Source organism: Homo sapiens, chromosome 8, assembly GCF_000001405.40.
Source record: "Homo sapiens chromosome 8, GRCh38.p14 Primary Assembly".
Classification (NCBI taxonomy): domain Eukaryota; kingdom Metazoa; phylum Chordata; class Mammalia; order Primates; family Hominidae; genus Homo; species Homo sapiens.
In genome coordinates, this window is record NC_000008.11 from 23212084 (window position 1) to 23238956 (window position 26873).

General features: G+C 44.8%; 1 protein-coding gene and 1 long non-coding RNA gene across 2 annotated transcripts in view, besides 13 other annotated features; one reads left to right on the forward strand and one right to left on the reverse strand.

The window, feature by feature from the left end:
- Positions 1–13019, reverse strand: part of TNFRSF10A (TNF receptor superfamily member 10a) — a 34651-nt gene extending 21632 nt beyond the window's left edge. Inside the window, exons 1-2 of the mRNA NM_003844.4 lie at positions 12673–13019; positions 33–129 (exon numbers count right to left, since the gene is read on the reverse strand). Of these exons, the coding sequence (NP_003835.3) occupies positions 33–129; positions 12673–12978 (403 nt within the window). The 5' untranslated portion in view covers positions 12979–13019. The remainder of the gene's footprint in view (positions 1–32; positions 130–12672) is intronic.
- Positions 6137–6336: an enhancer, noted in NCBI's record as "active region_27109". NCBI's record gives its function as "activates an Ori minimal core promoter by ATAC-STARR-seq in GM12878 lymphoblastoid cells {active_cell/tissue: GM12878}" and the evidence as "EXISTENCE:reporter gene assay evidence [ECO:0000049][PMID:35858748]".
- Positions 7367–7436: an enhancer, noted in NCBI's record as "active region_27110". NCBI's record gives its function as "activates an Ori minimal core promoter by ATAC-STARR-seq in GM12878 lymphoblastoid cells {active_cell/tissue: GM12878}" and the evidence as "EXISTENCE:reporter gene assay evidence [ECO:0000049][PMID:35858748]".
- Positions 7617–7676: an enhancer, noted in NCBI's record as "active region_27111". NCBI's record gives its function as "activates an Ori minimal core promoter by ATAC-STARR-seq in GM12878 lymphoblastoid cells {active_cell/tissue: GM12878}" and the evidence as "EXISTENCE:reporter gene assay evidence [ECO:0000049][PMID:35858748]".
- Positions 12511–12590: a transcriptional cis regulatory region, noted in NCBI's record as "p53-BS region". NCBI's record gives its function as "mediates induction by tumor protein p53" and the evidence as "EXISTENCE:deletion mutation evidence [ECO:0005510][PMID:15289308]".
- Positions 12511–13547: a promoter, noted in NCBI's record as "pB-DR4/p53BS promoter fragment". NCBI's record gives the evidence for it as "EXISTENCE:reporter gene assay evidence [ECO:0000049][PMID:15289308]".
- Positions 12511–14781: a biological region, named in NCBI's record as "TNFRSF10A 5' regulatory region". NCBI's record gives its function as "regulatory_interactions: TNFRSF10A".
- Positions 12612–12861: a silencer, noted in NCBI's record as "silent region_19021". NCBI's record gives its function as "represses an Ori minimal core promoter by ATAC-STARR-seq in GM12878 lymphoblastoid cells {active_cell/tissue: GM12878}" and the evidence as "EXISTENCE:reporter gene assay evidence [ECO:0000049][PMID:35858748]".
- Positions 12976–13629: a promoter, noted in NCBI's record as "-596/+63 promoter". NCBI's record gives the evidence for it as "EXISTENCE:reporter gene assay evidence [ECO:0000049][PMID:12082627]".
- Positions 12976–14781: a promoter, noted in NCBI's record as "-1733/+63 promoter". NCBI's record gives the evidence for it as "EXISTENCE:reporter gene assay evidence [ECO:0000049][PMID:12082627]".
- Positions 13029–13220: a silencer, noted in NCBI's record as "fragment chr8:23082625-23082816 (GRCh37/hg19 assembly coordinates)". NCBI's record gives its function as "represses an EF-1alpha promoter that drives an FKBP-Casp9 reporter gene in an ReSE screen in phorbol 12-myristate 13-acetate-treated (for megakaryocytic differentiation) K562 erythroleukemia cells {active_cell/tissue: K562(+PMA)}" and the evidence as "EXISTENCE:reporter gene assay evidence [ECO:0000049][PMID:32094911]".
- Positions 13138–18843, forward strand: TNFRSF10A-DT (TNFRSF10A divergent transcript). Its single transcript, NR_033928.1, has 3 exons — positions 13138–14040; positions 15983–16070; positions 17865–18843. It is a non-coding gene; the product is annotated as a TNFRSF10A divergent transcript (long non-coding RNA).
- Positions 13272–13411: an enhancer, noted in NCBI's record as "active region_27112". NCBI's record gives its function as "activates an Ori minimal core promoter by ATAC-STARR-seq in GM12878 lymphoblastoid cells {active_cell/tissue: GM12878}" and the evidence as "EXISTENCE:reporter gene assay evidence [ECO:0000049][PMID:35858748]".
- Positions 13373–13395: a protein binding site, noted in NCBI's record as "AP-1/I". NCBI's record gives the evidence for it as "EXISTENCE:protein binding evidence [ECO:0000024][PMID:12082627]".
- Positions 14387–14410: a protein binding site, noted in NCBI's record as "NF-kB site III". NCBI's record gives its function as "positive regulation of promoter activity" and the evidence as "EXISTENCE:protein binding evidence [ECO:0000024][PMID:18421578]".
- Positions 18844–26873: the final 8030 nt, after the last annotated feature.

The following is a 26873-nucleotide window of genomic DNA, read 5'->3' on the forward strand; positions in this document are numbered from 1 at the left end:
GTAAAGGATTAGAGATCAGTCTTAGAATGTACCTGGTGGACACAACTCTCCCAAAGGGCTATGTTCCCATTGCTGTGTGCCAATTGATTGATCATGAAGTTTGATGGTTGCAGCTGAGCTAGGTACGACCTGTGGGGACAAAGCAGGGACTGGCATGAGTGGCTTCCAGATCTCACCCATTACAAGATCAATCTCACATTCCATTCCCCCAAGCCTCCAAAATTAGACAGAACTTGCATCTTTCTCCCAGTTCTAAAACTCAACCATTTGTTTGTGCTCATCTTTGTCTCTTTGTCCCCATGCCCCCAGCCTGTGGCAACTACCATTCTACTGTCTGTTTCTATGAATTTAACTACTCTACATACTTCATATAAATGGAGACATACAGTATTTTATGGTTTTCTTGAGGCTGTCATATTTCAATTAGCATAAAATCATCACGATCCATCCATTCGGTACCATGCATTGGAATTTCATTCCTTTCCATTGTGTGTATATGTATTACGTTTATCCATTCATCTGTCAATGGGCACTTGGTTTGTGTTCACATTTTAGCTATTGTGAATAAAGCTGCTATGAACACGGGTGTACAAAATCTCTTTATGCCCTTTCTTTCAATTCTTTTGGATATATACCCCAAGGTAAAATTGCTGTTTTCTTACAAGAGTTGTATAATTCTTATAGATCTTACATTTGGAGGCCACATATGAAAAGCCAACAGCTACCATCCTACTCAATAGTGAAAGACTAAAGGTTTTTTCTCCAAGATCAGGAACAAGACATGGAGGCCTCCTTTCATCACTTCTATATTATCAGGGTAATGCGGGGCCCACACGAAGAGTTAGAAAGTGTTCCCTCCAACTCAGTTTCTTGGAAGAATTTGAGAATTCATGTTAGTTCTTTAAATGTTTGGTAGACGTCATCATTGAAGCCAACTGGTCCTGGGCTTTTCTTTGCTGGGAAGTTTTGGATTATGGATTCTATCTCCTTACTATAGTTCTGTTCAAAATCTCTATTTCTTCATGATTGAATATTGGTAGGTAGTGTGTTTTTAGTAATTTACCAGTTTTATCAATGTGCTCTAGTTTGTTGACATGCAATTATTTATAGTATTTTTTATAATCCTTTGGATTTCTGTAAAGTTGTTTTAAATGTCCCCTCTTTCATTTCTGGTTTTGGTTATTTAAGTTTTCTGTCTTTTTTCTTAGTCCATCTAAGTAAAGGTTTGTACATTTTATAGATCTCTCTTAAGGGTCAACTTTCAGTTTCTTTGAGTTTCTCTGCAGTTTTTCTATTCTCTATTTCTGTTATCTCTGATCTATTTTTTGCTGGTTTGGGCTTAGTTTGCTCCTCTTTTTTTTTTTTTTTTTTTTTTTTTTTTTGAGACAGAGTCTCGCTCTGTTGCCCAGGCTGGAGTGCAGTGGTGCGATCTTGGCTCACTGCAAGCTCCGCTTCCCAGGTTCATGCCATTCTCCTGCCTCAGCCTCCCGAGTAGCTGGGACTACAGGCGCCCGCCACCATGCCCAGCTACGTTTTTTGTATTTTTATTAGAGACAGAGTTTCACTGTGTTAGGATGGTCTCTATCTCCTGACCTCGTGATCCGTCCACCTCGGCCTCCCAAAGTGTTGGGATTACAAGCGTGAGCCACCACGCCCAGCTGTTTGCTCTTCATTTTCTACTTCATTATGTAAAAGGTAGATTGTTCATTTATTTCTTCTTTTAATGTGGTGAGCATTTACAGCTATCATTTTCCATTATAACACTGCTTTCATATCCTGTAACTTATGGTATATTGTTTTCATTTGTCTCAAGATATTTTCTTTTGAAACATTTTTCTAATTTCCATAGGTTTGAGGGTACAGCTGCTTTTTGTTGTTGTTGTTGTTACATGGATAAGTTCTTTAGTGGTGAGTTCTGAGATTTTAGTGTGCCTGTCATCTGTCTCAAGATATTTTCTTTCTTTTTTGAGGGGGGTGGGGCCTCCCACAATCTGCCCACCTTGGCCTCCCAAAGTGCTGGGATTATAGGCGTGAGCTACAGAGCTCAGCCTCCCAAGACATTTTCTAATTTCCCTTTTCATTTATTTTTTTACCCATTGGTTGTTTTAAAATGTGTTGTTTAGGCCGGGCGCAGTGGCTCATGCCTGTAATCCCAGCACTTTGGGAGGCCGAGGCAGGCAGATCACGAAGTCAGGAGATCGAGACCATCCTGGCTAACACGGTGAAAACCCGTCTCTATTAAAAAATACAAAAAATTAACCGGGCGTGGTGGCGGGTGCCTGTAGTCCCAGCTACACGGGAGGCTGAGGCAGGAGAATGGCGTGAACCTGAGAGACGGAGCTTGCAGTGAGCCGAGATTGTGCCACTGCACTCCAGCCTGGACGACAGAGCCAGACTGTCTCAAAAAAAAAAAACAGCAAAAAAGTGTTGTTTAATTTTCACATATTTGTGGATTCTCCAGTTTTCCTTCTGCTATTGATTTATAATTTCCTTTTATTGTGATTGGAAAAGATAGTTTGTTTTATTTCAATTTTTAAAATTGTATTAAGACTTGTTTTGTGGCCTAACATATAGTGTGTCCTGGAGAATGTTTCATGTACCCTTGAGAAAAATGGATATTCTCCTGTGATTGGGCAGTGTTCACATACACACAGACATACACACGCTTTTACTAATGAGGGTTAGGTGATGTGTAAATTTTTTAAAAAGCAGGATACTGAATCAAATATTAAATAATGAACTTCAGGTTTAAAAAGGCACTTTACAAACTGTCCCCCAAAACAGCCTGCCAATGTCCCATGAAATACTAGAGTCAGAAAAAGATGAAAGAGCAGTATAGTTATTCAGGACAGGATTTCTGTGCAATAAATTACATTATAAAGACAAGTGAAAACCATTGGGGTCTGAGGATTAGCTGGTAGTAATGTACTGATGCTTACTGTCTGATATTGAGGATTGTATTGTGGTTATACGGGAGAATGTCCTTATTTGTTGGAAATATCCACTCAAGTGTATAAGGGTGATGTGCGTTCTGTGGGTAGCTTGCTCTCAGGTGGTTCAAAGTAAAGGGTATAGTATAATTTTTGCATCTTTTCTGTAATTGGGAGATTTTTTAAATTAGAAAGTTAAATTAGAAAAGGAAGAGCAGGGGGGCCGGGCGCCGTGGCTCACGCCTGTAATCCCAGCACTTTGGGAGGCCAAAGTGGGCGACCACCTGAGGTCAGGAGTTCAAGACCAGCCTGGCCAACATGGTGAAACCCCGTCTCTACTAAAAATATGCTGGGCGTGGTGGTGGGCACCTGTAATCCCAGCTACTCCAGAGGCTGAGGCAGGAGAATCACTTGAACCCAGGAGGCGGAGGTTCCAGTGAGCTGAGATTGCACCACTGCACCCCGGCCTGCATGACAGAGCGAGACTCCGACTCAAAAAATAGCATAACTAAATAAATAAATAAATAAATAAACAAACAAAACAAACAATGAATTCCAATTCATAGACAGCTTTAGGAATATTTAAATTATCTTTATTTCTTGTGGCTATTTTGCTAAGTAGTGTTTTTTAAGAAATTTGTCTATTTAATCCAAGTTGTCAAATTGATTGGCATAAAGTTATTCATAAGATCCCACTATTTTCCTTTTAATGGCTGTAGAGTTTGTAATAACATCCCATCATTAATTCTTGATATTGGTATTTCATGCTGTTGTTCTTTTTTTCTTTTAAAGTTTGGTTTATTACTTTTTTTTTTTTTTCCTGAGATGGAGTTTTACTCTTGTTGCCCAGGCTGGAGTGCAGTGGCGTGATCTCGGCTCACTGCAACCTCGGTCTCCTGGGTTCAAGCGATTCTCCTGCCTCAGCCTCCGGAGTAGCTGGGATTACAGGCATGTGCCACCACGCCTGGCTAATTTTGTATTTTTAGTAGAGATGGGGTTTCTCCATGTTGGTCCGGCTGGTCTCAAACTCCAGACCTCAGGTGAATCGCCTGCCTCGGCCTCCCAAAGTGCTGGGATTACAGGGATGAGCCATCTCGTCCGGCCAGTTTATTACTTTTATTAATTTTGTTGATCATTTCTGAGAACCAACTCTTAGCTTGTTGATTCCTTTTATTGTTTGAATTCTATTTCATTGATTTCAGTCTTATTATTTCCTTGTCATGTTGTTACTACCTTTGAGTTTAATTTATACTTATTTTACGGGTAAGTAATGCACACCTCTGAGTCATTGATTTTGATACCATTCTTCTTTTAATCCTTAAGAACTTTACTGAGATATACTTTATATATGATGTAATTCTTTCCTTTAAATATATTTATAGAAGTGTATAACCATCAATAAAATCAATTTTTGAAGATTTTCATCATCATCCCCAAAAGAAACTCCAGGCCAGGCACGGTGGCTCACGCCTGTAATCCCAGCACTTTGGGAGGCCGAGGTGGGTGGATCACGAGGTCAGGAGTTCAAGACCAGCCTGTGCAACATGGTGAAACCCTATCTGTACTAAAAATACAAAAATGAGCCGGGCGTGCTGGCAGGTGCCTATAGTCCCAGCTACTCGGGAGGCTGAGACAGGAGAATCACTTGAACCCGGGAGGCAGAGGTTGCAGTGAACCGGGATCACGCCACTGCATTCCAGCCTAGGCGACAGAGCAAGAAGCCAATTCAAAAAAAAAAAAAAGAAATATTTTGAATTCTCTTTGATTTCATTCGTGAACTATGAGTTATTTATAAGTATGTTGCTTAATATTCACATTTTTGGAGTCCTTCTAGATATTGTTATTGCTTAACACTTTAATTTCATTGAGATCAGAGAACATATTTTATATTATTTTGTTTTAAATGTATTTAGATTTGTTTTATAGTTCACAATGTGGTCTATCTTGGTGAAGTACCATGTTCATAGAAGAGAAGGAATCTCCCATAGATGTTGCATATATGCTCTATAAATGTCAGTTAAGTCAAGGTGGTTGACAATGTTCAGATCTGTTATTTTACTGTTTTCATCTGATCGTTCTATCAGTTGCTGAGAAGGGGGTGACATGATCTCCCTTTAATCCTTTTGAGCGTTGCTTCATTTATTTTAAAGCTCTACTATTAGACATATACACATTTATGATTATTATGCCTTCTGATGAATTCATTTTTTTTTTCTTTTTTGAGACGGAGTCTTGCTCTGTTGCCAGGCTGGAGTGCAGTGGCACAATCTCTGCTCACTGCAACCTCCGAATCCCTGGTTCAAGTGATTCTCCTGCCTCAGCCCTCCCCAGTAGCTGAGATTACAGGCAAATGCCACCACACCCAGCTAATTTTTGTATTTTTAGTAGAGATGGGGTTTCACCATGTTGGTCAGGATGGTCTCGATCTCCTTGACCTCGTGATCTGCCCACCTCAGCCTCCCGAAGTGCTGGGATTACAGGGGTGAGCCACTGCGCCCGGCCTGAATTCACTTCTAACACTAAAAATAGTACCTTAAAAAAAAATCTCTACTAATAGCAAGTGAAAACCTGACAACGAGCTCCTGGTGACTCTGGACCTGGACAGTGCTCAGCCTTCTGTTCAGCTGTTCTTCCCACCTCTCACATGAAACATGTCTATGAAAGGCTGAGGACGTCACATCTGCATTGGTGCGGGCTTCCTAGAACCCATGTTACTCATTCATCCAAGGAGGGCATGTCGGCGCCTGGTAGAAACGCTGTGCAAGGAATCGTGGGGTATCAAGAAAAAGGCACGACCCTCCCTTTCCTTAGGACAGTTCCAGTTCCCAGGGAGATGAGGCACAGCCATCAATAACCCGAGTCACGAGGGGCTGCCCAGGCAGAGGTGACAAATGCCACTGGTGGCAGGGACACCGGTAGACATAGAGGGAAAGGTCCACATAGAGGGAAAAGTCCACACAGGCAGGTTCCTAGGCAGATACGAAGTCAAGGCAGTCGGGGAGGGCAGTCAAAACAAGTGATGCTGGGACACAACTCTGAGGTTTGTGGGCGTCTGATTAAGGGAGATGGAAGGTGAGGTCAGAGAAGTGAGGTTCTCAGTTCACAGATTTGGGCTCATGGGGGTGTGAGGTTGTGTGTGTGTTTGTGTGTGTGAGAGAGAGAGAGGGAGAGAGAGAAAGAGAGCAAGAGAGAGAGGTCTTGTTCCAGGTCTTCTCCTCCATAGACTCTCCTGACCCTGCCCTGCCTCTTCCTGAGATGAGTCATTCACCAGGGGGTTTCCTTGCCTTGTTCCTCTCGGATTAGCATTGTGTTAGGCTGTTTCAGAGGTAAGTTTGATATTCACACTGATTTCCTCTCTCAGGCATACACACCCTAAAAAAATGCCTTATTGATCTTAAAATGAGCAACTCAGAATTGTTCTGAGGTTGGCTGTGGTCGAAAATCTGCTTCCTTTGAGTCTTTCGTGGCTTTTTTATTTCTTTGTTCTTTTGGTATAAAAAGACCCCTGGGTTAAGAAGCAAGCCATCTGTCTTGTAGTCTCGGGCCAGCCTCATGGTCTGGGGGAAGCCACTTCTTCTCTAAACATGTCTATCATTCTGGAAATAAGAGGTGGCTTTACATGACTTCTCAGGTACCCCCAGCAGTGACCCAGCGCTGGGTGAATGCAGGCCTCATGAAAAAGCACCAAATACTCCCCTGGGAAAGGTCAGCAGAACCCAGTGACCCAATCACTGCTGCTGCCCCGAGGGTTGCTCATCCTCCTGCCCAGCCCCTCTACTGAACAAATGTTCTGAGTCTCATGCTGTTTGTCTAAAACAAAGACAATGAGGGTTCCTGTACAGTCTGGTTGTATGAGGATTAAGTGTGTTCATTTACATATGAAGTGCTAAGAACAGAGCTTGGCACACGCAAGTACTGTATTTCAGCACATGCTGTTGTTAGTACAATCATTCCCCTCAATGTTGATTTTAATGAAACCACATCCTCTAAGCCACCAATACCATGACCTGGGGCCTTGCAACTGCTGGAGTCAAGTAGGGAGGGATGGCATCCCTGGAGCCGGCACAGCCTCTCTGGAGGTGGGGGGTGGGGGAGGTGGCCCCCATGCTTCCTGATAGTTATTTAGGTCCCTAGTGACACCTCCTCCACCAGACTGTGGGCTTCAGGGAGCAGGACTGACACAGGGCTCATTTGTCCTCCCACCACCACCAGGCGCAGACATTCTCAGAGTAAAGTGCTCATCACCTACTTCCTGGGTGAGTGACTTTCCCTCCAAGCCCATGAGGTGAGCCCAGTGGTGGCCTCAGCTCACCGCCTCAGGTCACAGGTTCCAGGCTACAGCACAGGGATGGGACCCCGAAGAGTCCTGTGGACTCTGCTAAGGAACCCTAGGAGCTCCCAGAGGCCAAGTGCAGGGCAGAGATGTGGAGAAGCAGCTGCTCAGAGGACTTTAGCCCTGCAGAAGCCAAAACACGGCTGCTATTATACAGAAGGGGAGACCAAAAATGCTACAGACATGGCTCCGGCAGATTATTTTTGCCACCATCGAAGTGCTGAAACCACACTGTTAAGGAGAAAATCTTAAAAGCAGCCAGAGAACAAAGATCTCCTCCCCACAGACAAGCCAGGTGAGAGGCGCAGCCTAAGCCCTGAAAAACCACACAGGAAGAGGCAGCGGCAGAGGCCCCACCCCAGCCGGTGCTGCTCCCCTCTCCTCTTCATCAGGACTGTCCCCGCTCCCTCCACCCAGTGCTGAGACCAACAGCAGACATGGGGGCGAGGGTGTGATGCACTTAACATGACCTAAGCCACACAAATATATTACCAACAAACTCCAATGACTTAACTTTGAGATTCTCTTCATCTAAGTTTTTAAAGTGGTCATTCCTAGTTTCTCTCATTCCTACCAGTGCTCTGGACAGACTTGCCTGTGGCCAGGTGCACACACGTTCCCCCTCTGAGCTGCACACACTTTCCCTCTCTGAGCTTTGGTCCTCTCCTCTGTAAAATGTGATGATTCACATCCCCTCCTGGCCACAGGCGAGTGTCTGAGGTGCCGAGTGCACCCTGCTCTTCCCTACAAAGCAGACCCTTTCTCCTTTCCCCATTATCACAGATACCTGCCTGGGAATCCGGAAGAGGCCCTTCCCAGTCCAACAGGCAGCTGCTATTATCAAGCAGGCCAGGTCCCAAATGCTGGGGACTTCCTCCTCCTAAATCTCATTTTCTCCCCAGACAAAATGAGAGCAACAATCCCCACATCCCTGGGTTAGGAAAATACCCTGAATGAAGATGTGCAGTCTCTGGCTGGGCTGGCCCAATCTCTATGCCAGGTCCTTCCACCTCACCTCTCTCTTTAGCAAAGTAGAAATTGAGAAATTCTGAAGGCTCTGAAGCTTAGACACTCAGGCTATCAAAGAGCCCAGAGATTGGAGGCTGAAGACTGCCAGGGTTGGCCGTGCTCCTCTTCAGCTGTGACTCTGCTGTGGCCCCAGCTCCTTCCTATAAACTAGGCAGATATAAAATCTGCAGCGGCCCTTTATAAACCACAGTGGTCTGTGTTGGCAGATGTGTGCTGCCGTGTAGGAGGACAAATCACATGCTCAGGGCTGGTGTCAGTCACTCATGACTCTGGATCCCCAGGGCACCTGTCCTAATGAACTTGAAAGAGAACTGAAGGCACTGGCATTTTTCCAGACTAAGTGACACCAACTGCCCAACAGCACAGGCTCAGGGCATGGCACTGTCCCCATCTCCGACCTGGAAGCTAAAGCCTTGCTGCCCTGTCACTCCTGGATACAGGACAGAGGACCAGAACTGGGACTGTTGCCTCTCAGTAGGGGCTGGGTGAGCAGCCATCTGCAGCCACATGGATGGAGACCTTTCCTGCTCACTCTTCAAACTGCAACCAGTGCCGGGTGCCCACCAGAAGGACAACTGGAAGGAAACGTGGCAGGTAAGCCAGGCTGTGGCCCTGCAGTGACATCTTTGTCCTAACTTGAAGTCTGGCTCCTCTGTTCCTCCACGGCCCCTCCCCATGGCGCTCCACCCCATTCCTTAGAACCTTCTGCCCCAAGCTCAGAGAGCCAGTATGGAGGTGCAGGTGGGAGCAGGTGCAGCCTCTGCTGGGTAGAGGACAGGTGCTCTGGGGATCCAGAGTCCTGAGTGACTGACACCAGCCCTGAGCATGTGATTTGTCCTCCCACACGACAGCACACATCTGCCAACACAGACCACTGTGGTTTACACAGGGCCGCTGCAGACTTTTATATCCACCTAGTTTATAGGAAGGAGCTGGGGCCACAGCAGAGTCACAGAGCTGAAGAGGAGCACGGCCAACCCTGGCTGTCTTCAGCCTCCAATCTCTGGGCTCTGATAGCCTGAGTGTCTAAGCTTCAGAGCCATCAGAATTTCTCATTTCCTACTTTGATAAAGAGAGAGACGAGACGAGGTGGAAGGACCTGGCACAGAGATTGGGCCAGTCCAGCATTGACAGAGCCAGGACCTGGGGTGAGAAACTGAGCTCAGCTCCAGGCTCATCTGATGTCATCCTGACAGTCTGAGGACAGAGACATTATCTCCATTCACAGGCATGGCGGGTGGCAGGAACTGGCCCCAGCCGACCACAGTTTCCTAAGTGCAGAGGTGCGACTGCAGTCTTCCCTGCTCCCTCCCCAACGGTCTAATCTGGAGTCTCTAGGTCATCTACTCCCAGTCTCAAAAAATTCCTGGATCCTTGAAAATCTCTAATAACACTGAAACAAAAAATACAACATTGAGGTCTATCATTTTTTACCTCTTAGAGTAGCAAAGAATGAAAGTTCCATGTAGTAAGGGTGCAGGGACACGGGCACGCTTGTGTATTCTTTTTTTTTTTTCTTGAAACGGAGTCTCGCTCAGTCGCCCAGGCTGGAGTGCAGTGGCGAGATCTCGGCTCACTGCAAGCTCTGCCTCCCGGGTTCACGCCATTCTCCTGCCTCAGCCTCCCGAGTAGCTGGGACTACAGGCGCCCGCCACCGTGCCTGGCTAATTTTTTTCAATTTTTAGTAGAGACGGGGTTTCACCGTGTTAGCCAGGATGGTCTGGATCTCCTGACCTCGTGATCCACCTGTCTCGGCCTCCCAAAGTGCTGGGATTACAGGCGTTAGCCACCGCACCCGGCCACACTTTTGTATTCTTGGTGTGAGAGTAAAACTGGCACAATCTTCTCCCGAAGTACAATTTAGCAATATCCAAACAAAATTCTACATTGATGAGCTCATGTACCTAAAAATTCCTCTTCTAAAGGGCTGCCCGATACTTCAGGGAACATTGACATATGGACATATGACACATACAAGGGTTCTCACTACAATGCTGCTGGAATTAGAAAAAACAAAAGCAGGACATAATGTTAACAATTGCCCATGGGATGGAAGATTAAAATTAACTGTGGTTCACGCCATGTGTTTCACCCATGCACTAAATATTATGATGCTGTTAAAAAGAATGAGATACTTGCATGTACTGATAGAAAACATCCAATGCGATTTGTTCTTCAGTCAGAATTTTAAAAGTTAAGGTGCCTATAAATGCACAGGAAGAAGGCTGAGGGATGGTGGGATGAGAGGGTCCTGTGGGATGGCAGAAGGCCTTGGTGTCTGCTACGGGTCCTTTGTCCCTGCCAGGGCTCACGTTGAAATCTGAACCGTAATGTAGCTGGTGGGGCCTGTTGGGGTTTGGGGTGGATCCCTCATGAAAGGCTTGGTGCCATAACCGCCCCCTCCCACATTCCCCCAGGAGTTGTCAATCTTAGTTCCCCATGACACCTGGTTGTTAGAATGAACCTGGCCCCTCCCCGTCTCCCTTCCGGATCTCATCCCCCTCCTCCTGCCATCCTCCCCACCCCTTCCCCTGATGGGCAGAATCCAGCTGTCCTTCCCCTTCACCACCAGTGGAAGTTTCCTGAGGCCTCACCAGAGGCAGATGCTGGTGGCATGCTTCTTGTACAGCCTGCAGAACCATGTGCCAAATAAGCCTCTTTTAAAATTATCCAGCGTCAAGTTTTCTTTTTTATTTTTTTTCTTTTCCGAAACGGAGTCTCCCTCTGTCGCCCAGGCTGGAGTGCAGTGGCGTGGTCTCGGCTCACTGGAAGCTCCGCCTCCCAGGTTCACGCCATTCTCCCGCCTCAGCCTCCCGAGTAGCTGGGACTACAGGCGGCCACCACCACGCCTGGCTAATTTTTTGTATTTTTAATAGAGACGGGGTTTCACCGTGTTGGCCAGGATCGTCTCGATCTCCTGACCTCGTGATCCGCCCGCCTCGGCCTCCCAGAGTGCTGGGATTACAGGCGTGAGCCACCGCGCCTGGCCTCAAGTATTCTTTTATAGCCACACCAACGGACTGTGACATTTCCAAAACCACCAAATTCAGATGTTTCACCTTGTCTATACAGGTGAGCCCTACATCCACCTGGAATCGCACTAGCCTGTCAAAAAGAAAGCCATTTAATAAGCGTATTAAAAATAAGAGTCAAACGTGGGTTCCACCTAACATAAACTGACGTTTAAAACATAAATTCTGTAATTATTTGGAGATTTCAAAATGCTATTGGATTCCTGGATTTTGTTTAGTTTGTTAAACAAAAACACGTAAAATTTCCTGACACTTGTAAGACTGGTTTATCCTTCAGGTACTTAGCTTTCGTTTTGTTTTTCCTTAACATAGAAGGAATCTGGATGAGAACAATTGGTAGAGCCTTAATGAACTTGAAAGAGAACTGAAGGCATTGGCATTTTTCCAGACTGAGTGATTGCTTTCACAGGAAACGCTGCCTCCTGAAGGAAGGGCGTGCCCCGCTCCTGGCTGCCTGCCTCGTGGTGGTCAATTCGCTGCCCTGTACCTGTTGATGCGCAAGAAAGTGGCTGGAAGGAAACTGCTGCCGGTGTGCTCAGTGGACTCGAAACGGAAGACAACGAGCAGAGGAGAGAAAGTTACTTTTTCCTGCCGGGCTGCGTGTTTAACCAATTTGTCTAAGAAAAGAAGGATGGAGGGCCGGGCGCGGTGGCTCACGCCTGTAATCCCAGCACTTTGGGAGGCCGAGGCGGGCGGATTTGGCTAACACAGTGAAACCCCGTGACTACTAAAAATACAAAAAATTAGCCGGGCGTGGTGGCAGGAGCCTGTACTCCCAGCTACTCGGGAGGCTGAGGCAGGAGAATCGCTTGAACCAGGAAGGCGGAGCTTGCAGTGAGCCGAGATCGCGCCACTACACTCCAGCCTGGGCGACAGAGAGAGACTCCGTTTCAAAAAAAAAAAAAAAAAAAAAAAGAAGAGAAGAAAAGAAGGACGGGGGTGGGGAGGGAATCAGGGAGTGGGGAGAATGGCGCTCCCCTTCACGCAGCTGGTGTGGCTGGGAGTTGGCTTGGAAGTTTACACACTTGAGCTCTATCGATTCCGAAACTTCCCGATACATCGTGAGGTGTGGGCAGGAGGGAGACGCGCCAGGCAGCAGCCAACGGGGTGGAGTCCCCGGGCCCAGCCTCCTGCGGGAGGGGGCTCTGCTGCCTCCAGGCCCGGGTCGCTCCTGCCTGGCCCCGGGGACCCCGTTCTTCCTCCGACTCCGACGACGGGCTCCTCCTGCCCGGACATGCCCCGCCACAAGTGACCCGGGCCAGGCACCCCCGCCGCGTCCCCCTCTCTCTCTGCCCCCTCCCGGTGCCAGGCGCGCTTTTCCCCAGGCAGGACCGCGGTGGGGACTCACCTGCAGCAGGACCCCGACGACGACAAACTTGAAGGTCTTGTGGACCCGGAGCCGAGGGCTGGCTTCCCGCGCCGGCCTGGGTCCTGGGGCGCGCCCTGCCCGGGCCCGGGCACTGGGTCCGTGCTGTCCCATGGAGGTAGGGAGCGCTCCTCGGCCCCCGCCTCGTGGTTCAATCCTCCCCGCGGAAGAGCCCCACACTTTGCTGGGTGTGGCCGCGGCTGCCTCTGTCCCACTCGCTGCGCTCCCGGGATTCGGAGTCACTGCCAGGAACGCACCTAGATGTACTCTAGCTGGTGGTGGCGCCATCCTGCCAGGTCAATCCAAGAAGCAGCGTGCTTGGCTATGACAAGACAGAACTTCGCATTCGGAGTTCAGGGCACCCCTGACCCCGCCCCCTTTTCGGGGCACCTGCGGCTCCTGTTGGCTAACCCTGAACTTCCTTCCTCTGTGACCGCCCTTGCCGCTCTCAGCTTCTGTTCCTCAACCACGGCCGCCGCGTGGATGCCGCTGCATTCGGAGTCGTTTTGCCACTTGGTCCCAGCGCCAGGCTTCTCGGTCGGGAGTTGACCTCAGCCTTTCTGTGACCCAGTTCCTGGCACCCAGCAGGCGCTCGGTGGACGGATGGGTGGCGGAATGAAGGACACAGAGGCCACTGCGGGGTCTGGCCTCTAAGAGGCTTTTACGGCCTCCTCCGTCACTACCGGGCGAGTGATTCAGCCTGCCTTTTTTTTTTTTTTTTTTTTTTGAGATGGAGTCAAGCTCTGTCGCCCAGGCTGGAGTGCAGTGGCACGATCTCGGCTCACTGCAACCTCCGCCTCCCAGGTTCAAGCGATTTTCCTGCCTCAGCCTCCTGAGTAACTGGGATTACAGGTGCCCGCCACCACGTCCGGCTAATTTTTTTTCTATTTTTAGTAGAGACGGGGGTTTCACTGTTTTGGCCAGGCTGGTCTCGAGCTCCTGATCTCGTGATCCGCCCGCTTCGGCCTTACAAAGTGCTGGGATTACAAGCGTGAGCCACCGTGCCCGGCTCATCCTGCTTTTGGTTTCAGGTCTCCATGCCAGTGAAATGTCACCTCAACTCCACCGTCCCTGGTGTCAGGCAAGCCCGAGGGACCCAATTCTGCCTTTCTTCTGGATTTTCCTAACCTGTTAAGAGTCTTGAAAGTCCTTAAACCACGGGAGACTATCTGGCACATGACACGGGATGAGACTTGGTGGGGGTCCCACGGGGGACAGGTCCTTCCAGCGGTTCCTCTGCACCCAGCGCTGCACGGGCATGGGGCGTGGGTAATCAGCCTCCCGAAAGCCACGCGAGTCACGGTCCTGCCTGCGAAGAACTCCCAGGGCGACCTTGGGGCTGAGGAGTGGGTAAGAGAAAGGGGGCGCTGATTGATGTTCATTTTTCTCCATATTTTAATGGTGTTCCGGTACCATTTGTTGAAAAGACTCTTTTCGACCGGGCGCGGTGGCTCACGCCTGTAATCCCAGCACTTTGGGAGGCCGAGGCGGGCGGATCACCTGAGGTCAGGAGTTCGAGACCAGCCTGACCGACATGGAGAAACGCAGCCTCTACTAAAAATACAAAATTAGCGGGGCGTGGTGGCGGATGCCTGTAATCCCAGCCACTCGGGAGACTGAGGCAGGAGAATCGCTTGAACCCGGGAGGCAGAGGCTGCGGGGAGCCGAGATGGAGCCATTGCGCTCCAGCCTGGGCCACAAGAGGGAAACTCCGTCTCAAAAAAAAAAAAAAAAAAGACTTTTTTTCCTTATCCAATAGCCTTATCACTTTTGTTGAAATTAAATTGACCATATATATGTATGTGTCCATTTCCGGACTCTATTCTGTTCCGTTTATTTATTTGGCTATTCTCATGCTAATTACCACATTGTCCTAATTATGAGCTGTATAGTCAGTCTTGAAATCAGGCAGTTCAAGTCCTCCCCCTACTACCCACCTCCCAAATGGTTTGCATTTCCGTATATATTAAATATAGAATAATTTTTTTCAGTTAAAAAAGCCTACTGGAATTTTAATTGGGATTGCATTGAATGTAGAGATGAATGAGAATAATTGACATTTTAACAATTTTGAGTCTTTCAATCCATGAAATTTATTTATTTAGATATTTGTTACTTAAGCTTGACAATATTTTGCAAACTTTCCATGTACAAATCTTTCATATCTTTTGTAAACATATTTCTAACTATTTTTGTTACTATTGCTAATGGAATTGATTTAGCTTCCCTTATTTTCAAATTGTTTGTTGCAACTATACAGAAATACAGTTGATTTTTGTCCATCGGCCTTGTATGCTATGGTACTGCTAAATTGATATATTTCTAGTTGTTATTTTATAGATTATTTAGGATTTTCTATGTAAGCAATCCTATTGTCAGTAACCAAAAACTGTCTCAGTTCTTCCTTTCCAATCTTTATACCTTCTATTCATCTTTGTTGCTGAATTGCCCTGGATAGGATTTCCAGTACAATGTTAAATAGAAATAGTTAAAGCAGACATGCTTATCTTATTCCATATCTTAGAACACATCTAATTAATCACCATTAGATATGATGTTAGTTATAGTTTCCTCATAGATGCCTGCTGTAGTTTGAATGTCCTCTCCAAAACTCATGTTGAATTTTTTTTTTTTTTTTTTTTTTTTTGAGACAGAGTCTCACTCTTTCGCCCAGGCTGGAGTGCAGTGGCCTGATCTCGGCTCATTGCAACCTCCACCTCCTGGGTTCAAGCAATTCTTCTGCCCCAGCCTCCCCAGTAGCTGGGACTACAGGCACATGCTGCCGTGCCTGGCTAATTTTTGTATTTTCAGTAGAAACGGGGTTTCACCGTGTTGCCCAGGCTGGTCACAAACTCCTGAGCTCAGGCAACCTGCCTGCCTTGGCGTCCCAAGGTGCTGGGATTATAGGCTTGAGACACCATGCCCGCCAATTTTTTTTTTTTAGATGAGTCTCGCTGTGTTGCCCAAGCTAGACTGCAGTGGTGCGATCTCGGCTCACTGCAACCTCTGTCTCTGGGTTCAAGCGATTTTCCTGCCTCAGCCTCCCCAGTAGCTGTCAGTACAGGCACGCACCACCACCACACCCAGCTAATTTTTGTATTTGTAGTAGAGACGGGATTTCACCATGTTGACCAGGGAGGTGGGGCCTTTAAGAGGTGATTTAGCTTATGAGGGCTCCATCTTCATGAATGGATTAACGCTATTGTCTCAGGACTGGGTTAATTTTCATGTGAGTGGGTTCCTGATAAAAAATAATGAGTTTGGCATGATTTCCTCCCTCTCTCTCACCTAGGCCTGCTTCGGCCTTCTGCTCTTCTGTTGTGTGGTGACCCTCACCAGAGGACAGCTTCATGCTCTTGGACTTCCCAGCCTCAAGAACTGTAAGAAATAAATTTCTTTATAAGTTGCCCAGTCTGTGGTATTTGGTTATAGCAGCAGGAAATGGAGTGAGACAATGCCCTTTACCAGATCAAATTCCCTTTCATTTCTACTTTGCTGTTTTTACCATTAATAGAATGTGAAATATAACAATAAACAATAACGTTTGACACTTTGAAACGTATCAAATGTTATTTTTTGGCGTCTATTGAGATGATTATATTGTTTTTCTCTTTTATGCTATTCAAATGTTTAATCAAATTGACTTTCAAATGTTGCATCTAACTTGAATTCCTGGGTCAAATTTCACTTGTCATGATGTATTATCTTTTTTACATATTGCTAGGTTTGATTTGCTAATACTTTCTTAAGCATATTTTTGTGTCTGTATTCATGAGAGATATTGATTTATCATTGTCTTTTTCTGTAATGTCTTTCTAAGTTTGGGTATACTCATTATTCTGGCTTTATAAAATAAACTCAGTTTCCTGAGAGTCTTATAAGATTAGCATTATTTCTTCTTTCAATGTTTGATACCATTCACCAGTAACACCATCTGGACTTGGTGATAATTTTTGTTGTTTTTCTTTTGGGGTATGTATGTGTCTGAAGGTTTTTGATAATAAATTCAAATCCTATAATAGATATGAGTTTTTCAGATTTTCTATTATTTTATATGTCTCTTTTGGCAAGTAAAAATTTTCAAGTCATTTGTCTCTTTTATCTGAGTTCTTAAATATATTGGCATAAAGTTGCTCACAATATTCCCTTATTATCCTTAGCAATCATAGTGATGTCCTCTCTTTTATTTTGATAACTTAGTTTTGTCTCTCTCTCTTTGATGAGTTTCGCTAATGATTTATTATTCTTTTCAAATAGCCATAATGTCTGTGTTAACTTTATTACTTTCAGGGTTTTTCTGTTTTCTATTCTATAGATTTTCTCTCATTATTGCCTTTCTTATACTTATTCTGGGTTTATATTGCTCTTTTTTTTTTTCTAGTTTTTTTGAGACAGAGTCTCACTCTGTCGCCCAGGCTGGAGTGCAGTGGCGTGATCTTGGCTCACTGCAACCTCTGCCTCCCAGGTTCAAGCGATTCTCCTGCCTCAGCCTCCCGAGTAGCTAGGACTACAGGCGCCTGCCACCACGCCTGGCTAATTTTTTTTTTTTTTTTTTTTTTTGGTATTTTTAGTAGAGACAGGGTTTCACCACGTTAGCCAAGATGGTCTCAATCTCCCGACCTTATGATCCGCCCGCCTCAGCCTCCCAAAGTGCTGGGATTACAGGAGTGAGCCATTGTTCCCAGCCTGCTCTTCTTTCTTTAGCTTTTAAGTGGAAACCTAGATCATTGATTTCTATCCTTTTTTGTTTACTAATACGAGCACTCATACTCTCTATGTCCTTCTGTAGTTATGTCCTACAAATTTTGATATTTTGCATCATCATTTAGTTTGAAATATTTTCTGATTTCTACAGGCTTTCTCCTCTGACCCATGGTGGTTTAAACTGCAAATATGAAAGTCTTTTTTGTATTTCTTATTGACTTCTAATTCAATTTCACTGCAACTAAAGAAAGTGTTCTGTATGATTTCAATCCTTTTAAATTTATTAAGACTCTTCGTAGGCCCAGAATAGGGTCTACCTTAGTAAACATACTATGTGCACTCAAAAAGAATGAACATTCTACAGTTGTTGGGTATAGTATTCTATGAATGTTTATTAGGTCAAGGTGGTTGATAATTTTTTCAGATTGTCTGTGACTTCATTGATTTTTCTTTTTTTGTTTTTTTGACAGTCTTGCTCTGTTGCCCAGGCTAGAATGCAGAGGCACCATCTTGGCTCACTGCAACCTCCGCCTACCGGGTTCAAATGATTCTCCTGCCTCAGCCTCCCGAGTAGCTGGGATTACAGGCACCTGCCACCATGCCCAGCTAATTTTTGTATTTTCAGCAGAGATGAGGTTTTACCATGTTGACCAGGCTGGTCTTGAACTCCTGACCTCAAGTGATCCGCCAACCTCGGCCTCCCAAAGTGCTGAGATTACAGGCATGAGCCACCATGCCCGGCCTCCATCTTTTACTTTCAATCTATCTGAAGCTTTATATTTAAGGTGCATATATTTTAGACAGTTAATAATTTCAGCTTGCTTTTTTTTTTCCTAGTTGGGGAAACTCTGCTTTTTAATTGGATTGTTTATTCTGGTTACATTTGTTGTTGTGGTGAAATTTGGAAAGTTCAACCTGCCACAACGTCTTCACTTACTATTTTTAAAGGATATTCTCAATGAGTGTGAATAGTGAGTCAACAGCTTTCTTTCACCATTTCACACATCCTGAGCCTCCATTGTTTTGAGTCAGCTGTCGTTCATATCTTTGTTACCTGTGAATGCACAAAATTTGCTCTGTATGATGACTATGATGTGTCCAGGTAGGGTTTTCTTTACATTTATTTTTATGAGGGGTTTATGAACTTTTTGAATCTATAAGTTGATGTTTTTTCACTACATTTGAGACTATATCAACTTTTTTTTTCTTTCATCTTTTCCAGCCATTTCTTCTTGGTTCTGGTTCCGTGTGTACTGCATGATATTGTACCACGTGTCACGGAGACTCGCTTCCTTGTTTTCTTTCAGTTTCATTTTCCCTTGCACTTCAGATGGAATGATATCTATTGATCTCTTTTCAAGTTCACTCATTCTTTCTTCTGTAATGTTCAATCTCTCTTAAGAAAGTCCAAATAAATTTTTCATTTCAGAGAGTGGAATTTTCGGTTCTAAAATGTCCATTTGGTTCTTGTTTATAGTTATCATATGTATGCTGAAATAGCTTATCTTCCACTCATGTCAACAATCTTTTCTGTAGACCCAACATATATTTTGTAGCTCCTTAAAAGAGATTCTATTATGAATCAGCATTAAAAACCACTGTGAAGACAGAAACTCTACCTAGAAGAATGAGGTTTTTATGGTTTGGCTTTTGTTTTTTGGGATAGCGTCTCACTCTGTCACCCAGGCTGGAGTGCAGTGGTGCAATCATGACTCATTGAAGCCTCGACCTGCTGTGCTCCAGAGATCCTCCCACCTCAGCCTCCTGAGTAGCTGGGACTACAGTCATGGGCCCCCAAGCCCAGCTAATTTTTGTACTTTTTCTAGGGACAAAGTTTTGCTGTGTTGCCCAGGCTGGTCTTGAGTTCTTGAGCTCAAGTGATCAGCCTGCCTCAACCTTCAGAATTACTGGGATTACAGACGTGAGCCATTGTGCCCGGCCAGGAGTGAGTTATCTAATGAAGAGTAACAATAACAGAAAATGTTTATGAGCTCCTGCATACAATAATTTCACAAGTATTTATCGAAAATTGATTACATACCAGGCAAAATGTATGCAAAGATTAAAATCTGCAGTACCTGATCTAGGGGACTTGCACACTAGTAGGGAGACAGTAAAACAACTGTAATAAAATGTGATTTGGCAGAGCCTATTAAAAATGATTCTATCAGCCGGGCGCGGTGGCTCACGCCTGTGATCCCAGCACTTTGGGAGGCCGAGGCAGGCAGATCACAACGTCAGGAGATCGGGACCATCCTGGCTAACACGGTGAAACCCTGTCTCTACTAAAAATACAAAAAAATTAGCCGGGCATGGTGGCGGGTGCCTGTAGTCCCAGCTACTCGGGAGGCTGAGGCAGGAGAATGGCATGAAACCGGCAGGTGGAGCTTGCAGTGAGCCGAGATTGCACCACTGCACTCCAGCCTGGGTGACAGAGCGAGACTCCGTCTCAAAAAAAAGAAAAAAATAATAATTCTATCCCCAAGAACCTGTATTTTTAGTTTGGGGAATAAAATGCTTAGGATAATTAGGAGAAAGAAGGTAGGAGGGGAGAAGAGAGTGGAAGAAAGTGAAATGGGGAATGTCTCAGACCTTATTTACAAAGAAATCTTAAAGAAAATCCAAAGACAATAGGGAAGACAAAAAAGGAAAAAAAAAAAAAAAAAAGACAACAGAGGAAATTTTAGCCTATGACGGCCGGGCACGGTGGCTCCCACCTGTAATCCCAGCACTTTGGGAGGCCAAGGCGGGCGGATCACGAGGTCAGCAGTTTGAGACCAGCCTGACCAACATGCTGAAACCCCGTCTCTACTAAAAATACAAAAAAAAAAAAAAAATTGGCCGGACATGGTGGCGCATGCCTGTAATCCCAGCTACTCAGGAGGCTGAGGCGGGAGAACTGCTTGAACCCAGGAAGTGGAAGTTGCAGTGAGCAGAGATCGAGCCACTGCACTCCAGCCTGAGCGACAGAGGGATACTCCGTCTCAAAAAAAGAAAGGAAAAGAAAAAGAAATTTTAGTCTATGACAACAATAGCTACAGCACACAGTAAACACTCCGTAACTCCTAGTCAGAAATAAAACCTCCTACTAAAAGTTCTGTTTCACTAAATTCCTTTTATCCAATCCATCATGTTCATAATACAGGAAATAAACAGAATTGAAGGCAGAAATTTGCACTACTATAATAATAGTTGGAGACTTCAATTGTCCCACTTTCAAAAACAGAACCATCAGAATGAAGATCAATAAGGATGTAGCGTACTTGGACATCACTATATACTAATGGAAACTAAAAGACATAGAAAACAGTTCACCACAAACAGAAGCATACAATTTTTCTCAAAGATACATGGAATATTCTCCAGGATAAACCATAAGTTAGACCACAGAGTAATTCTTTATAAATTTAAAATAACTGAAAGTATCTCTTCTGATCACAATATGACACTAGAAATCAGTATCAGAAGGAAAAGAGTAAACTCCTCAAACATGTAGAAATCAACAAGCTTTTAAATAACCAACGAGTCAAAGAGGAACTCATACAAGAAATTAGAAAAGATCTGGAGATAAGTGAAGCAAAAAACACAACATACTAAAACTTATGGGATGCAGTAAAAGCAGTGCTAAGAGGAAATGTTATCATGGTAAATGCTTATATCAAAAAGGAAAAAAGACCTAAAATAAACAATCTACACATTAAGAAACTAGGAAAGGAAGAATAAACTAAATCCAAGGTAGCGGAAAGAAGGAAATAAAAAAAAATAGAGGAGAGATTATTTTAAAAAGAGAATAGGAAAACAGTAAAGAAAATCAATAAGCCCAAAAGTTGATTCTTTGAAAAGATTAACAAAATGGAGAAATCTTTGGCTTGATTTATTAAAAAATAAGAATCCTCAAATTACTAAAATCAGAAATGAAAGTGGGACATTATTGCTGATTCTACAGGAATAAAAAGGGTTAGAAGAGAGTACTATGAAAAAATGTATGCCAAAAAAACACATTTATCTAGCTAAAATGAACAAATTCCTAGAAACACACAACCTACCAAGACTGATTTATAATGAAATAGAAAATTGGAACAGACATAACTGGAAGGAGATTGAATCAACAATCAAAAACTTCCCTGGACCAGATTTGTGTCCAGCCAAATATTTAAAGAAAAATCGGCTGGGCACGGTGGCTCATGCCTGTAATCCCAGCACTTTAAGAGGCCGAGGTGGGCAGATCACAAGGTCAAGAGATCCAGACATCCTGGCCAACATGGTGAAACCCCGTCTCTACCAAAAATACAAAAATTAGCCGGTCGTGGTGGTGCACGCCTATAGTCCCAGCAACTCGGGAGGATGAGGCAGGAGAATCGCTTGAACCCAGGAGGCGGAGGTTGCAGTGAGCCGAGATTGCGCCACTGCACTCCAGCCTGGCGACAAGAGAATGACTCCGTCTCAAAAAAAAAAGAAAAAGAGAAAAATCAACCCCAAGTTTTCTCAAAGATGTGAAAAGGAGGGAACCCTTCCTAACTGATTCTATGAGGCCAGAATTGTCCTTACACTAAAGTCAGGCAAAGATACTACAAGAAAGAAAACTACAGACCAATATCCCTTATAAATTTTGCTGCAAAAATCTTCAACAAAATAATAACAAACTGAAACTAACATTTACAGATTTTTATTATTTATTTATTTATTTATTAAAGACAGTCTTGCTCTGTCAGCACGCTGGAGTGCAGTGGTGTGATCATAGCTCACTGCAGCCTTGAACTCCTGGGCTCAAGTTATCCCCTTCCCTCAGCCTCCCAAGTCACTGGGACTTTAGCTGCCTGTCACCACGCCCAGCTAATTTCTTGTTTTTTTTTGTAGAAATGGGGTCTTGCTATGTTGCCCAGGCTAGTCTCAAACTCTTCGGCTCAAGCAATCCTCCTGCTTCGGCCTCCCAAAGGGCTGAGATGATAGGTGTGAGCCACCATGCCTGGTTCTGAATCAAACATTTAAAAAAGTATTATACACCGGTCGGGTGCAGTGGCTCACGCCTATAATCCCAGCACTTTGGGAGGCTGAGGCAGGTGGATCACCTGAAGTCAGGAGTTTGAGACCAGCCTGGCCAACATGGCAAAACTCCATCTCTACTAAAAATACAAAAATTAGGCTGGGCACGGTGGCTCACACCTGTAATCCCAGCACTTTGAGAGGCCGAGGCTGGTGGATCACCTGAGGTCAGGAGTTCGAGACCAGCCTGACCAACATGGAGAAACCCCATCTCTACTAAAAATACAAAATTAGCCGGGCCCGGTGGGCATGCACCTGTGATCCCAGCTACTTGGGAGACTGAGGCAGGAGAATCACTTGAACCCACGAGGCGGAGGTTGTGGTGAGCCGTGATCGCACCATTGCACTCCAGCCTGGGCAACAGGAGTGAAACTCCATCTCAAAAAAAAAAAAAAAAAAAGAGCCAGACGTGGTGGCTCACACCTGTAATCCTAGCACTTTGGGAGGCCGAGGCGGGCGGATCACGAGGTCAGGAGATGGATACCATCCTGGCTAACACGGTGAAACTCCATCTCTACTAAAAAATAGAAAAAGTAGCCGGGCGTGGTGGTGGGCACCTTAGTCCCAGCTACTCGGGAGGCTGAGGCAGGAGAACAGCCTGAACCTGGGAGGCGGAGCTTGCAGTGAGCCAAGATCGCACCACTGCACTCCAGCCTGGGCGACAGAGCAAGACTCTATCTCAGAAAAAAAAAAAAAAAAAAATTAGCCGTGCTTGGTGGCAGTTGCCTATAATGCCAGCTACTGAGGAGGCTGAGGCAGGAGAATCACTTGAACCTGGGACGGGGAGGTTGCAGTGAACTGAGATTGTGCCACTGCACTCCAGCCTGGGCAAAAAGAGTCGAGACTCCATCTCAAAAAAAAAAAAAAAAAACGGATTATACACCATAATCAAGCGGGATTTATCGCTGGAATGCTGACATGGTTCAACATATGAAAATCAAAGTAATACAGCACATTAACAGAATGAAGGACAGAAACCACATAATCCTCATCTCTTTTTGTTTGTTTGTTTTTGTTTCTGGGACAGCGTTTCACTTTGTTGCCCAGGCTGGAGTGCAGAGGCTTGATCATAGCTCACTGCAGCCTCCACCTCCTGGGCTCAGGCAAGCCTCGTCCTTCAGTCTCCCCAGGAGTTGGGACTATAGGTGTGCCACCATGCCTGGCTATTTTTTTTTTTTTTTAGTATAGACAAGGTCTCCTTGTTGCCCATACTGATCTCAACTGATGCAGAAAAAGCATTTGACAAAATTCAATACTGTCTCATGATAAAAATGCTCAACAAACTAGGAATAGAAGGAAACTAGATAGACATAATGAAAAACATATTTGAAAAATGAAAACCAACATAAGGATGAAAGACTAAAAGATTTTTGTCTAAGATTAGGATCAAGACATGGATGCCTGCTTTCACCACTTCTATTCAAGATAGTACTAGAAGTCTTAGAGCAGTTATGCCAGAAAGAGAAATATGCTCATTCAAATTTGAAAGGAAGACATAAAATTATCTCTATTTGCAGCTGCCATGATCTTATACATAGAAAACCCTAAAGATTTCACAAACATTTATTAGAATGAATAAACAAATTTGGAAAAGTTGCAGAAAAAATCAATACACAGAAATCAGTTCCTTTTCTATTCACCAACAATAAACAATCTGAAAAGAAAATTAAGAAAGCAATTCCATTTACAATGGCATGATAAAAATACTTAGGAATAGACTTCACCAACAAGGCAAATAACTTGTACACTGAAAACTACAAAATGTTCCTGAAAGAAATTAAAGAAAACATCAATAAATGGAAGGACAGTCTGTGTTCATGGATTGGAAGACTTAAGATGCCAACACTACTCAAAGCAATCTACAGATTCAATGTGATCACGATCCAGATACCAATGATGTATTTTTGCAGAAATAGAAAGATCCATCCTAAAATGTATATGGAATCTCAAGAACTCTAAACAGCCAAAACAACCTTGAAAAAGAAGAACAAAGCTGGAGGATTCATACTTCCTCTTTTCAAAACTTAACTAAAGCTATAAGAATCAAAGTAGTGTGCTACTGGCAGAAAGACAGACATATAGACCAATGGAATAGTATAAAGTGCCCAAAATTAAACCCTCACAAATACGGTCAAATGATTTTTGACACAGATCTCATAACCACTTGTGTTAGGCCATTTTTGCATTGCTATATGGGTAATTTATAAAGAAAGGTTTAATTAGCTCATAGTTCTGCAGGCTGTACAAGCATAATGCTGGCATCTGCTTGGCTTCTGTGAAGCCTTAGGGAGCTTTTAGCTTTTATTCATGGGGGGGAAGGTGAAGTGAGAGCAGGCACATTATTTGGTGAGAGTGGGAGCAAGAGAGAAAGGAGAGAGATGCTGTAACCTTTGAAATGACTAGATCTTGCACGAACTAACTGAGCAAGAACTCACTTATCACCATGGGATGGTGCTAAACCATTTGTATTAGTCTGTTCTCATGCTGCTAATAAAGACATACCCAAGATGGGATAATTTATAAAGTAAAGAGGTTTAATTGACTCACAGTTCCACATGGCTGAGGAGACCTTGCAATCATGGCAGAAGGCAAAGGAGAAGCAAAGGCACATTTTATATGGCAGCAGGCAAGGAGAAGTGCAGAGCAAAGAGGGGGAAAAGCCCTTTATAAACCATCAGATCTCATGAGAACTTACTCATCATCATGAGAACAGCATGAGGGTAACCACCCCCATGATTAAACTACCTCTCATTACAAATCAAGATGAGATTTGGGTGGGGACACAGCTAAACCATGTCATTCCACCGCTGGCCCCTCCCAAATTTCATGTCCTCACATTTCAAAACACATAATCATGCCGTGGCAACAGTCTTAACTCATTTCAGCACTAAATCAGAAGTCCAAGTCCAAAGTCTCATCTGAGACAAGTTAAGTTCCTTCCACCTATGAGTCTGTAAAATTAAAAGCTAACTAGTTACTTCCTAGATACAAGGGGGTATAGGCATTCAGTAAATACACCCATTCCAAATGGGAGACATTGGCCAAAACAAAGGGGCCACAGGCCCCATGCAAGTCCGAAATCCAGTAGGGCTGTCATTAAACCTTAAAGTTTCAAAATTATCTCCTTTGACTTGATGTCTCACATCCACGTCATGCTGGTGCAAGAGGTGGGCTCCCAAGGCCTTGGGCAGCTCTGCCCCTGTGGCTTTGCAGGGTACACCCCCTTGTCCTGGCTGTTTTCACAAGCTGGTGTTGAGTGTCTGTGGCTTTTCCAGTTGCATAGTGCAAGCTGTTGGTGGATCTACCATTCTGGGGTCTGAAGGATGGTGGCTCTCTTCTCATAGATTCACTATGCAGCACCCCAGTGGGGATTCTGTATGGGAGCTCTGACCCCACATTTCCCTTCTGCACTGCCCTAGCAGAGGTTCTCCATGAGGACTCCACCCTGCAACACACTTCTGCCTGGACATCCAGGCATTTCCATACATCCTCTGAAATCTAGGCAGAGGTTTCCAAACCTCAATTCTTGTCTTCTGCACACCTGCAGGACCAACACCATGTGGAAGCTGGCAAGGATTGGGGCTTTCACCCTCTGAAGCCATGACCCATGCTGTACATTGGCCCCCTTTAGTCATGGCTGGAGTGGCTGGGTTGCAGGGCACCAAGTCCTAAGGCTGCAAACTGCAGGGGGACCCTGGGCCTGGCCCAGGAAACCAATTTTTCCTCCTAGGCCTCCAGGTCTGTGATGGGAGAGGCTGCCATGAAGACCTCTGATATGCCCTGCAGACATGAAGACATTTTCCCCATGGTCTTGGTGATTAACATTTGGCTCCTCATTACTTATGCAACTTCCTGCAGCCAGCTTGAATTTCTCCTCAGAAAATGAGATTTTCTTTTCTATTGAAATGTCAGTCTGCAAATTTCCCAAACTTTTATGCTCTGCTTCCTTTTGAATGCTTTGCCATTTAGAAATTTCTTCCTCCAGATACCCTAAATCATGACTCTCAAGTTCAAAGTTCCACAAATCTCTAGGGCAGGGGCAAAATGACGCCAGTCTCTTTGCATAGCAAGAGTGACCTTTACTCCAGTTCCATCAAGTTTCTCACCTCCATCTGAGACCACCTTAGCCTGGATGTCATTGTCCATATATCACTATCAGCTTTTTGGTCAAAGTTATTCAACAAGTGCCTAGGAAGTTCCAAACTTACCCACATCTTCCTGTCTTCTTCTGAGCCCTCCAAACTGTTTCAACCTATGCCTGTTACCCACTTCTGAAGTCGCTTCCACATTTTTGGGTATCCTTTGTGAAAGGAAAATATCTTGGGCCCCCAAAATCACTAAGCTAAAGTGAAAATTCAAGCTGGGAACTGCTTAAGGCAAAACCTGACTCCCATTCTATTCAAAGTTATCCCTCTGCTCACTGTGATAAATGCATA